General features: G+C 45.3%; 1 pseudogene; it reads left to right on the forward strand.

The window, feature by feature from the left end:
- Positions 6,044-6,340, forward strand: RN7SL551P (RNA, 7SL, cytoplasmic 551, pseudogene; annotated as a pseudogene).

Genomic DNA, 13,488 nt, shown 5'->3' on the forward strand with positions numbered 1-13,488 from the left:
GCGCTCAGAGGTATTTTTGTTTTGTGCATTCACAGACATTTTCACAAATGGCCTACAGGAATATTGTGCTTACCTGAACACGTGGGTTTCCTGCTTTACGGACAGCTTTCAGTTTGGTCTGTGCTGTGGTGAACATCCCCATGAGTCCCTGGGCTTCCAGGGCCCCCTTCCTGTCAGCGTCATGCAGTCAGCAAGCTCCCCTTCTTCCCCCATGCTGGGCCTGAGACCCCCAGCTCCTCCCGGGGCTCTCCCCTCTTCCCCACTTGGTGCCCTTTTGGAAATTAGACCAAAAATACACTTTGTAGGCCCCCATCAGGATCAGATGGCTTTAGATCCTGTTCTCCCCACTTGCAACCTTTTCATTTAGGACTTTCATCTAAGACTGGTTGTGAAGACGGGAATTCAGCGCGCCATGCAGGGGACTCACTAGGCCCCAGGTGGGAACCCCATCCCCTCCTCAGGCGTTTTTGCTTCATGCTTATATCCGTGTCATCATCGGGCCTCTTATGCTGGCATTTTGTTTGTGTGTTCTCTCTCGCTTAACAAACTCACTCCTAACAGTTTAAAGAAGTGGCCTCTCAATTTCTAGAGAATCAAAACAGCAGTAAATCTCCTTCTTCTGAAAACGTATTCCAAAACGCTATTTGGTTATTCTCGTCTTTTCTGTGGTAAGAATGCAAATAGGACTCTACTTCATTCAGAGAGCAAAAGACTCACGGAAGTTAAATAATTTATGGAAATATTTAGAAAAGAAAAAGAAAGGTACAGATATGAGCTTTCTGCCAAGTTTTTTCTTTTTCTTTTTTTCTTTTTTTAATTATAGGCCTTTATTGGCTCCAGACAGGGAGGTTCTGATAAGCCCAGGAAGGAAAGCTAATGAAAATCTCTTCCTTAGGGTACCTACCAGTTTTCTCATTAGAAAGCATATCTCAAATATCAAAGATTCATTTTCACTTGTTTTTATGAAGGACTTGGAACCTTGGTGAAAGGTTATTTTACACGTTCAAATCTTACTTTAGAATAATTAATTTAGTCATTCAACAAATATTTGAATGCACACCATATGATAGGCACATGCTGGATCCTGCTGATGGAAACCTAAACAAGTCAGACGATGCCACCCTTGTGGGGCTCAGAATGTACCCATTTAATTGCAATGTGAAGTGTTTCATATTCTTAACCACCTAGAGGCTCATCTGTAAATGAGGTCCTATACTTTTTCTAATCTACTGAAACGTGGCCATCCATCGACCTCCAGGAATATAAAACAGAGGCAGGGAAATCAAGCCAATCCATTTATACAAGTTTTAAGTGCATACAAAAAAAAAAAAAAGGAAATTTAGGCTATCATCTAAAATGACCTTGATGGGTCCAATACCAAGAAAAATAGGATAGCACATAGTAGGTGTTCATTTTTTTAACTTTTTCTTTGCAAATAATTTCAAACTTACAGAAGAGTCTCGAGAAAAACAATTGCTCAAAAAACACCCCCACACCCATTACCCAGATTTCTTACGATTCACATTGTATCCCATTTGCTTTCTCACTTGCTATTACTGTGTATATAATTTTTCTGAACCATTTGAGAATATGTTGCACACGTCATGGCCCTTTCCCCCTAAACTGCATTTCCTCAGAGCAGAGACAGTCTTGCATGACGATAAAACAATCTTGTTTTGTAATTCTTCCAATTTTGTAATTGTTCCACTGAAGTTCTTTATAGAATTTTGGCCTCCAGGGCAGGATACTACCCTGGATCTGGTCCTGCATCCATTTTCGTGTCTCCTTAGTCATCTTTCATCTGAGACATTTGCACAGCCTTTATCTTTTATGACATTGCATTTCTGAAGAACAGCCTCCTCCTCCCATTTTAAATAGAATTGCTTTCATGTGGAGTTTGTCTGATGCATTTCTGGCCAGTGAATGACATAAGTGGTGCTGCATCTTTCTAGGGCATCCTACCTGGAGATGTTCGCCATCCATTGTCCCTCCTTGGTGATGCTTATTCATAGCACAAGTCAAGGCATTTCTCCTCTGCATACGTACTATGAGTTTCCTTGCAATGAGAAACCAGTCTATGGAGAGACACTAGGAGACCACATACATATCATGATCCTCATAAAAATTTCCCCTTAGACTTAGTATCCACCCAAGATTCCTGCCTGAACCAGCCTTCATGGTGATGATGAAAATGATGATGGAAATGATTTTCCATCTCCCACACCACTCCATGTTTACCATCAGCACTTGCCATTCCTAGGCACAAGAGCCCTCCTCTCTCCCCGCTTTATTTTTCCTTTTATTATCGTTGTGTACCTGAGGATTCCTATTTTTCCAGTGGCTTCTCAGGCATTCCTGGACTTCATTGTTTGAGTGCTCAAATTGTGCCCGACTCGGTCAATGGGAGACCTTCAAGTTGTCCCCCTGCCCACCAGCATATCCTTCTGATAGGCCCCAGCTTTTTATATCACTCCTTATGTTGTGGCATAAGGGACTCCATATTGACCCTATCTCTACCCTGTCCTAGCCATAAAATCAGCCATTCTCTGATGGACCCCTGGCTCCTGTTAGTGGGGAATAGCACTACAGACCAAGGTGCGGGCACTGGGTGTGCTCATAGTTGCTGAGGGGCGTTTGCTTCTGGGCCCTTTCAGGGGACATCGTGCTCAACAATTGTTGGAATGCATGAGCAAAGGCATGCATTTTATTGAGATGTCCTTACCAAGAGCTCATTTTGTCTGAACCAGCACTACGAAACAAGAGTATGTTCTCTCTTGGGAACAGAGTCCTAGAGGTTGGGAGAACAGTAGAAAGTTGACCAGAATCTGCGATACAGGCTGGGGGTTCCCTGCACAGGCGCTGAAGCGCATGGCCTCCGTGGAGGAAACCAATGAGAAGGGCTCCACTCGGGACAGAGGCTCCAAGAACTGTTCCCTAGCTCTGCCCACTTGGCTTTCATCTTTGTCGTGGTTTTGGACAGAAAGCCACCAGGTTGCTTTAACTAGAAAACAGAGCAGTGCACTTTCTGGGACACTAGTGGAATCAGGGGATCCACAAGAATCCTCCATTTGCTGTTGTGACAATTACAAGAATTCAGTGACACTCCAGGATGCCCCATGCCCCACGTGTATTCCCAGGCACGAATCTAGATCTGCACTGGCACCAAAGAGCACACAGTCTGTTTGTCCTTTTTTAAAAAACATTTTATTGTGAACAATTTACATCATGGAAGAACACGGAAGAACGTGTAGCCTCACCTGCCATTCTTATTTCATCTACCACCCCTATCCCCACCCATGCTTTCGTCAAGAAAACGTTAAGGAAAATTGTAAACACACATCCATTTGCATCTAACATTAAGGACAATACTGTCCTTATAGCCCACAAAATGTAAAGTAATAGTCTAATTATCTAATATAATTATCTAATTATAGTACTGTTAACTTTAAAAGAAAACCTATAATACATATATTTAGAAAAGGAGAAATTTTATTTTATTTTTTATTAAAGGGTTTCAGCCTGCAAGGTGGCCATTCTTCTGGCTGGGAAGATGCCTCCAGCCAAGACCAGAGACAGGCACTTCCAGGAGGGTTTGGGATAGGAGCTTTATGTTTAAGGTTAACTAGACATACATATTCAGCAGGATATAGGAAGAGCTATGAATACTCATGAAGGCGGTCCTGACACGTGCATATGTAACATGTATCAACATATGACCCGTGTTCACTTTGGGCTGGAGATTAACGTTCACATTTATTGCAATTAGGCCGTATGTGTGAAAAGGGCTGTTCAGGACCAAAGGTTCTCAGGTGTGCAGCCTCTGTAAACTTATCAGGAGAAAGTTATTGAAATCAGTCTCTTGTCCAATCAGAGCTGTAGCTGTGACTGGTGGAACAGGGGTCAATTAGTCAGCATCTGGTGCAATTGATTTAACAGTGCTTATCTCAAGGCCAGTGCTTGTTTGGCTGCTAGAGAAAGAGAAAACCTTGTGGCAGTGAGAACATAGCTTATTCTTTCAGCATAAGGAGCGCGACTTAACCCTTGCCTGGCAGGGCCCTAGGTCCTGTTTCTAATTTGTTATCTTACTGCGTGCTGTCCTATCAGTCTTTCTGATCTCCATTTTAGCATTAATGCTGATTGGCTGTTGTGTCTAAACTGCAAAGAAAGGGGTTATAACCAAGCATGTCTGCCTTGTCCTGTAGTCATGGCTGGGCATGTTTTAAAGTTTTTTCTGGGGTCCCCTTGGCCAAGAGGGGGTCCATTCATATAGGTGAGTTAGGATGTTATTTTTAGTTTGTAGTGTCCAGCCCATGCTTCACATTCTTCAATTATCTCATAAAATGTCTTTTTACACTTTGTTTAAATTGGGATCTAAACAAACAAGACGTATACATAACACTGGATGGATACACAGCTTGAGTATTTCAACCCATAATAGTTTCCCTTTTATGTAGAGCCATTTATTTGTTGAAGAGACTGTGGGGGACCTTATCAAATTTCCCACAGCCTTGACATGGCTGGTTGTCAAGTAGCTCCTCATATATAAGGGATGTTTAGGTCAGGAAAAATTGTCCAGAGGCGAACCCGAATAAATGAATGGTGAACCTGGTGGGTGATGCGGCGACAAGAAGCATGGTGATAAAAATCCATGGGAATGGGAAGAAAGGAAGGGGAGAGGCAGACTGCATTTCTGACCAAGGAAAAGCCTCTAGGAACCATGACACCAGGGTCTGCTGAAAGAAAGCTGGTAGCTGATGGCCAGGCACCAGTGAGCTGGCGCACATTGATTACAAGAAAATCAAAGTCCTAAAAAAAAAAAAGAGAGAAAAAGAAAATCGAAGTCCTTCCTGTAAAGGTTGTGGAAGGAGGTCAGGCTTTCTACAGGCTTCCATGGTGGACCTTGGCCAGCATTCAGTCTGGTCATCGTTCTCTCCAACGTGGCTCATGTTACCAGGAAGTATCTGTGTTGGAATTATTCTTACCATGGAAAGAAAACTCCTCAGCTTACCTTTACAGCCTTTCAAACAAATAAAACCCATCTTAAAACCACTTGTCTTTTTGTGTTCATTTTTATTTAATTTACACCTTTACCTTAATCTTGTTTTCAGTATCTGGATATGGTATGAGGCCAAGATCCACGAGAACAGGCACAATGTGGCTAAAGACCCAGTGACCATGCAGGACGATAAGGACAATTCTGACCCTCCCAGACCGGGCGTCCCAAAGAGGACACACCCATCTCTTTTCTGGATTCATGTCCTAGGGCTGCCATTAGAAAACACCACAAATGGGGTGGCTTGAAACCATAGACATGGGTTCTCTCATAGTTCAACGGCCCGAAGTCTGAAATCCAGGTGTCGTGGGGCCGCGCTCCCTCTGAGGCCTGTAGGGGAGAATCCTTCTTGCCTCCCGGCTTCTGGCATTTGCAGTCAATCCTTGGCATTCCTTAGCTTGCAGGTCACTCCAATTTCTGCCTTGTCATTTGGAATGCTCTGTATGTCTCTGTCTTCTTATAAGGGCACCAGTCATATTGGATGAGGGGCCCACCCTACCCTAGTATAACCTCAACTTATGAATTTCACCAGCGGCGACCCTAGTTCCAAGTAAGGTCACATTGCCAGGTACTAGGGGTTAGGACTTCAATGTAGACATAATTCCACCCATATCATCCCCCTTTCATAAGCGAGCTTAATATGACTTAAGCATGCAGCTGTAGCTCCAAATAAAATGTAGACCATCAAACTCCCTCTCCCCTTACAGTAATGTATCTGCCTTGTCCAGACTCACATATGCAATTCTACAGGCTACCAATGTTTTGAGGTATTGTACGATGCCACCCTCGTGGAAAGCAGCATGTCAACGTTAAGCCATCCACCTGCACAGTGTGAACATCTGAGCTCCCTTCCTGTATGCCAGGGTTAAAAGGCTCTAAGAGAAGTGGTCAAGGAGAGAGTATAGAGCTGCTTGGTGCTGGAGGGGAAAAAAATGAACTCAGAAAGCAAAGCCAGGCTCCCTGAAACCTGCACCTTTGAGAAGAAAGGAGGCCAGGCATGCAGGCCCGTTCCAGTAGTCCCAGCTACTAGGAGGCTGTGGTGGGAGGACCAATTGAGCTCAGGAGTCCTGGGCTGTAGTGCACTATGCAGCTGGGGCATCTGCACTATATTCAGCATCAACATGGTGACCTCCCAGGAGCAGGGGACCACCAGGTTGCCTAAGGAGGGGTGAATTGGCGCAGGTCAGAAACAGAGCAGGTCAAAACTCCCATGCTGATCTGTAGTGGGATTGCATCTGTGAATAGCCAATGCACTCCAGCCTGGGCAAGATAATGAGATCCTGTCTCCAAAAGAAAAAAGAAGTAGCAGCAGCAGCAGCAGCAGAAAGGTGACAAGAGTGAAGAGGTAAGAATTAGAGATACCTGGGCCAACATGCTAACATGTCCTGCTGAGTAACCTTCACCGAGTTACTTAACTCTTCGGAGGTTCCATTTCCTCATCTGTAACAATGAGGCAACCACAGGAGCCTGGCAGGGCTGCTGTCAGGATTAAGTGACGTGATGAATGAATGATGCTTACTTAGCACGTAGTGCTCTGGAAATGGCAGGGCTTGTTACCCACCTTGGGTCCATCCCAGACAGGCACACAGGGATGGTTGGAACCCGATCCACAGGGGATGCATTCCCTGGGTGAATGTCTACTCCCCTACTTCCTGCCAGGCTTTTTGGGGTGCACTGAGGTGGTGAGTGCACACTAGAGACAAGCTTAGCAGAGATGCTGTTCCTGTTCATGGGCAGAGCAGATGAACAGGAGAGCAGCCTCATTCAGCCCAGCTGCAGGTGGGTCACAGGTAGCACAGAGAAGCAATCATCATGTGGTTTGTGTGAACTGAAGACCAGCATATGAGAGCCTTGGTGGACCTAATCGCCTCCATCCTGTGGATGTAAACTCTGCCTCCGTCACGGGCCCATGGAGCCAACTGTGGATGTAAACTCTGCTCTGCTGGATAGCTATGGGAGCAACGACCAGAGGACATACGTGTGGCATTCACAGCCAGGGTGAGATCATCAGCCAGTGTGTGTGTAAGATGTCTGTGAAAGGTGAAGTGCCTCATCACCTGAAATAAGAAAGTCTGGAAGACTCTACTAATACTTCCTGTGTATGAGGACATAGAGACAAGGTGGTTGGCCATGAGTGCAACATAAAGGATGTTAGAAAGGGGAGACCTTTCTGAATATATTGGGGCACAAAAGCATATTAACCCATACAGCAATTGCCCTAAATGCATGCAAAAATGAGCAAGCTGGATGCGGTGGCTCACGCCTGTAATCCCAGCATTTTGAGAGGCTGAGGCAGGCGGATCACCTGAGTTCAGGAGTTCGAGACGAGCCTGGCCAACACGGTGAAACCCTGCCTCTACTAAAAATACAAAAATTAGCTGCGTGTGCTGCCGGGCACCTGTAATCCCAGCCACTCAGGAGGCTGAGGCAGGAGAATCACTTGAACCCAGGAGGCGGAGGTTGCACTGAGCCAAGATCATGCCACTGCACTCCAACCTGGGAGACAAGAGTGACAGACTCCACTGCAAAAAAAAAAAAAAAAAAGAGCATGCATGCAAATGTTTCACAGTCTATTTCCCCACCCAAAATATTGGACTCACTCTGAACTAGAGTTTGTGACAAAGTGTTACCAACCATTGTATCAAAGGTCTAAATTACAGTGCAAGAATCAAGAGCAAATAAATAACCAGGACACAGATAAGAAATAACAAGAAAACAGTCATGGCCAGATGCCTTCCGCCAGCCATGCCTGACTCACTCCAACACACACTTAGACACATGCGACTTCCCTAGCTAGGTTTTGCTCAGCGGCTTAATGGGTTTCACCTTGCATTCAGCACCTGTGACTTATAGGCTTCTCATAGATTCTAGTGGAATAGTCTCCTCCAAATGTTGTACATTTTTAAAAAGTTAGGGGCTGGCTGGGCGCAGTGGCTCACGCCTATAATCCCAGCACTTTGGGAGGCCGAGGCAGGTGGATCACCTGAGGTCAGGAGTTAGAGACCAGCTTGACCAACATGGTGAAACCCCATCTCTACTAAAAATACAAAAAATTAGCTGAGCATGGTGGCGCATGCCTGTAATCCCAGCTACTCGGGAGGCTGAGGCAGGAGAATCACTTGAGCCCGGGAGGTGGAGGTTGCAGTGAGCTGAGACTGTGCTGTCACACTCCAGCCTGGGCAACAAGAGCAAAATTCCATCTCAAAAAAAAAAAAAAGAAAAAAAAGAAAAACCTAGGGGTTACTACATTCCAGCCAGGCAACAGAATGAAACCCTGTCTCAAAAAAAGACTAATATAATACCATCTTAATCAGAAATAAGGTTCATAGATGATATAGATTATCAAAAGAATTGTCAGAACGACTAAACCTAATATAAGGAGAAAATAAAGTGAAAGCAATTTATAATTAACTAACACTATTTGTTTCAATCTGTAAATGCTTGGGTAGAATTACGCCAGAAGACAAAAGGTTGCCACACATTTCCAAATCAGCCCTGTTTTTGGAAGACAGTGTCACCCTCACTGGGCTGGCTCTGTGACAGGCCCACTGACTGCACCTGAGAGATTACCCGACCAGGACGGCACATCTTGGAGGCACGAAGTCTCCAGCAGCTAATTCGCCAAGCCAAAGAGACCAGCTCCGCCAGCACCTATGCTGGACAATGCCAAGCCTACTGGCCGGTCAGAAGGAAGGAGGGGAAAAGCCACCTCACTGAGGAAGTACGGGAGGCAGAGCACGGTAGAGAAATAGGGAGACCCAGTGCCTGGAGACGGCTCTGCTCCTGCCGGCTTCCAGCTTCAACCCCATGCACTGTCCGCTTCTCTGCTTTTTCTTTAAGATGTACTGAGTCCAGTTCTGTGCCTTAAAATCAACATGGTCAAAATTTTGGAGTGAGGTTGGGCACAATGACTCACACTTGTAATCCCAGCAATTTGGAAGGCCAAATCGGGAGGATCCCTTGAGCCCAGGAGTTTAAGACCAGCCTGGGAAATGTAGTGAGATCCCGGCTCTTTAAAAACGTAAAAATAGGCCGGGTGCAGTGGCTCACACCTGTAATCCTAGCACTTTGGGAGGCTAAGGCAGGAGGATCACAAGGTCAGGAGTTCAAGACCAGCCTGACCAACATGGTGAAACCCTGTCCCTACTAAAAATACAAAAATTAGCCAGGCATGGTGGCGCACGCCTATAATCCCAGCTACTCAGGAGGCTGAGGGAGGAGAATCGCTTGAACTCGGGAGGCATAGGTTGCAGTGAGCTGAGATTGCGCCACTGCACTCCAGCCTGGGTGACAAAGTGAGACTCCAACTCAAAAAAAAAAAAAAAAAAAACCCATAAATATAAAAATATTGGAGTGAAAAGGAATTTTTGAAGAGTTTCTCTTTAAACTGTTAGAAAGCTCACCCCATCACTGTCTTGGGGGAAGTGAGCACTAGTTGTGGAGAGTTGTAATTTTCTTTTTCTTTTTTTAGAGACAGGGTCTTGCTCTATTGCCCAGGCTGGAGTACAGTGGTGCAATCATGGCTCACTGCAGCCTTGAACTCCTGGACTCGAGCAATTCTCCCACCTCAGCCTCCTTTCTGGGACTACAGTCATGCACCACCACATAGGGCTAATTTTTAACTCTTTTGTAGAGATGGGGTCTTGCTCTGTTGCCCAGGCTAGTCTCGAACTCCTGGACTCAAGTGATCCTCCCACCTTGGCCTCCCAAAACGCTGGGATTACAGGTGTGAGCCACCACAACCATCCCAGAGCTGTCATTTTTAATTCTTTGCCTGTCACAAACTCAATACAGGTAAACGTATGTAACATTCCATCCATTGCAAATGTCCCTTCCCCCAGTTAAAGACTGAAAGTCTGAATTCAAGTGACAACTAGTGACCCCAGGGATAGGAGCTACTTAATCCCAACCTACATGCCCACCTGCACAGAGAGAGTGCCTCCCACAGGCCTGGCTTGCTTTTTGCCTGTTAGACACATGGTACATTTCTGGCAATGCTCTGCTCCCAGCTAACTGCTGAGTCACCTGCATGGGACTGCCAAGTAGGTACGGGGTTTTCAATTTAGAAATGGCAGAGCCAGGTGAAGCCACCTCTGGCCCGAACCATGGTGCAAGGTTTAACAATGTGGAGGAATGGGGTCCTGTTCTGGGCATCATTCTGCCAAGTTCTAGCGCTCTTCAACCTGTGGAACAGGCACCCACTCTTGCAATGCTGCTGAGGTTGCCTTTCACTCGCTTCACCTTTATACCTGGTCCCTCTCTGTTTTCCTGGGTTTTTGTTTGTTTGTTTGTTTTTGTTTCTTGTGAGGACAACACTGTAGGGCCAGACAGAACTCAAGGAGCTGGTGGGCTCCAGAGTGCCCTGCCCTTGAGCAGCTCCATCCTGCATCCTCCAGGGCAACCAGGATGTGGGTGCCACTCGGGCCGCACCCTCTGACCCTCTGCAGCGAGCAGATCCAAACTGTCGTCAAGATGCAACTTTGCCAGAACAGAAGCCACAGTCTGGATTTGGGCATGTTTCCTTCTCACTGTTTTGCTTCCCCCACTATGAGTGGTAGAACCCATTTCTGGTACAGCACCTTTCTGCTTTAAACAATTAATTAATTTAAAAATGGGCCCAGGACACATTGCCCCTGAATATCTGGTCCAACATTAGGTTTACTTATTGTTATGGCTTGAACTGTGCCCAACCAATTCATATGTTGAAGTCTTAACCCTTAGTATCTCAGAAGGTGACCTGATTTAGAAATAGGGTCCTCAGCCAGGCACAGGTGCTTATGCCTATAATCCCAGCACTTTGGGAGGCTGAGGTGGAAGGATCACATAAGCCCTGGAGTTCAAGACCAGCCTGGGCAACATCATGAGACCCAATTTCTACAAAAAATACAAAAATTAGCCAGGTGTTAGCTAGGTGTGATGGTGCATGATTGTAATCCCAACTACTTGGGAGGCCAAAGCAGGAGGATCACTTGATGTTGGGAGGTCAAGGCTGCAGTGAGCTGTTATCATGCCACTGCACTCCAGCCTGGGCGACAGACCGAGACCCTGTCAAAAAAAAAAAAAAAAAAGAAAGCAAGAAAGAAGGAAAAAGAAAAAAGAAATAGGGTCCTTGCAGATGTTATTAGTTAAGATGAGGTCATACTGGAGTAGGACAGGCCCTAATTCAATATGGCTGGTGTCCCTATTAAAAAAAGGGGTGACCAGGCGTGGTGGCTCATGCCTGTAATCCCAACATTTTGGGAGGCCGAGGCTGGCAGATCATTTGAGGTAAGGAGTTCCAGACCAGCCTGGCCAACATGGTGAAACCCTGTATCTACTAAAAATACAAAAATTAGCTGGGCATGGTGGTGTGTGCCTGTAATCCCAGCTACTTGGGAGGCTGAGGCAGAAAAACTGCCTGAGCCCGGGAGGCAGAGGTTGCAGTGAGCTGAGATGGCGCCACTGAACTCTGGCCTGGGCGGCAAGAGTGAAACTCTATCTCAAAATAAATAAATAAATAAAAATTAAAAAGGGGCATTTGGACACAGGAACACCCTGTGTAGACGAAGGCAGAGATCAGGGTGCTGCTACAAGCTACAGAACACCACAGATCACCAGCAACCCCCAGACGCTGGGAGTGAGGCCTGGGACGCTACTCCCTTACTGCCCTCAGGAGGAAACAACCCCGACTGTACCTTGATCCCAGCCAGCTCTCTCCAGAATTGTGAGAAAATAAATCTCTGTTGTTTAAGCCACCCAGTTTGTGCTACCTTATTACGGCAGTCCTAACAAACTAATACATTCATTTGAATAGAGCTTTTAATTTAAACATTGACCATGTAATAAACTGTAACAAACTATTAGTATTTAATACATAAAATTCATAATGGGGGTCCTTTCTCGTCACAATGCTTATAGTTTGTATTTAAGAGGAAGAGGAAAGTATTGTCTATCAGAAACGCCACCGCATGACTGCTCATCACAACCTGATTTTTTTCTAGTCATTTCCCTGGCACCCCAAATATGCCCATTCAGTGGGTTTTAAACAGATATAATGGAAAGGCCACCCAGCTGCACTTCTGCTGTAAGAAATAACCCCTCGATTCTGGCCCAATATAAACAGTAGACTACAATAATTGCCATTTAACTCCATGGTGTCCAAATCAATGAATATGATATCAGAAGATTTCTTCTCTTGTCCTCTGCTCCTGGACTTTCCAGAGAAGGTTGACGATGACATGGGTCTGTCTCACATCAGTTCCCCAAATATCTTACTGAATCCATTTGGCATATAGCCTTTGTCGTTTATTAGCTATTTTAGTATTGTATGTTTTATTTTACTGATGACTGGTGGTTGTTAAAGCATTAGTTCTAGGTTGCCATTCCAGCTCGCATGATTTTGAGGAATGGTTTCCAGAAGGGCTTTCTAGCACATTTCCCCCACAGAAAAAGCTTAGTCGATTCTTTCCTGATAGCAACAGATGAAAGCTTTATGTCATAGGAAATCATAGTGATATTCTGGTGGCAACATGTACAAAATTATTATATAAATCTTGCTTATTATATAATCCTTTGGCTATACTTAAGGACAGCTCTTGAGGCAGGCACACTGGGAGCCACGTGGCATTAAACAGATCATCTTTCTTTCACACCCACGCAAGAATCAAAAGCAATGCTAAACAAAGTGTTCATCCAGCCCTTAATCTCCAAGGGGAAGAGGTTACAATAAAAATAATTTCTTCACCTGAGTATCAAACAGTCACAATTCTGGGGAACCCAATTTCCACTTCAGAAAGGCAAATGCTAAGGAATTCTCACCATCTGACTCTCACGGTAAAATCCCGTGCAATTCTTTATGTTTCACACTTGAGAAAAAGAAAGGGCATCAACTTTAACAGCTCCTTGAACTTCGGCCCTTGCAAGGAAAGTGATTGCATAACAGGGTACATATCAACAAGTGAGGCTGTTCTTTATATGTTTTGGCTCAGGAAAGAGCATGTGAACTTTTTTCTGGGGTCAGCATTTGGAACAGACATACCAGTGGGAGGAACAGAGGGTGATAATGTTTAACCAATAAACTGAGCTGAACTCAATCTCCTGCCTTGACAGGGGAACTATGCAAGGTCCTTTGCTTTGAAAGGCTTGGGCTCTGAGCATTCGTCAGCAATGGGTTGAGTCATATCATTGTGTTGAAGTTATTATTCGATGATTGGGAAAATGAGAAATGCTTGGAGGCCTCCACTGACTTTTGACAGACTGAGAAAAGCCAGAGTTTCTTCTTTGAAGGCTTATGAAGCAAGTCCTTCTTCTGCCTGGGGGTTAGTGCCTGTTCCAGCAAGGGCTGGCGAGGGGTACAGGGAGGTAAAGACACAAGCATAGGGGAAGTCATCTGACTGGGGAAGTCACACTGGCTATGCAGTGACACGTCGGAGACTCTCAGTCAATATGAATGAATA

This window comes from Homo sapiens, chromosome 18, assembly GCF_000001405.40.
Source record: "Homo sapiens chromosome 18, GRCh38.p14 Primary Assembly".
NCBI lineage: Eukaryota > Metazoa > Chordata > Mammalia > Primates > Hominidae > Homo > Homo sapiens.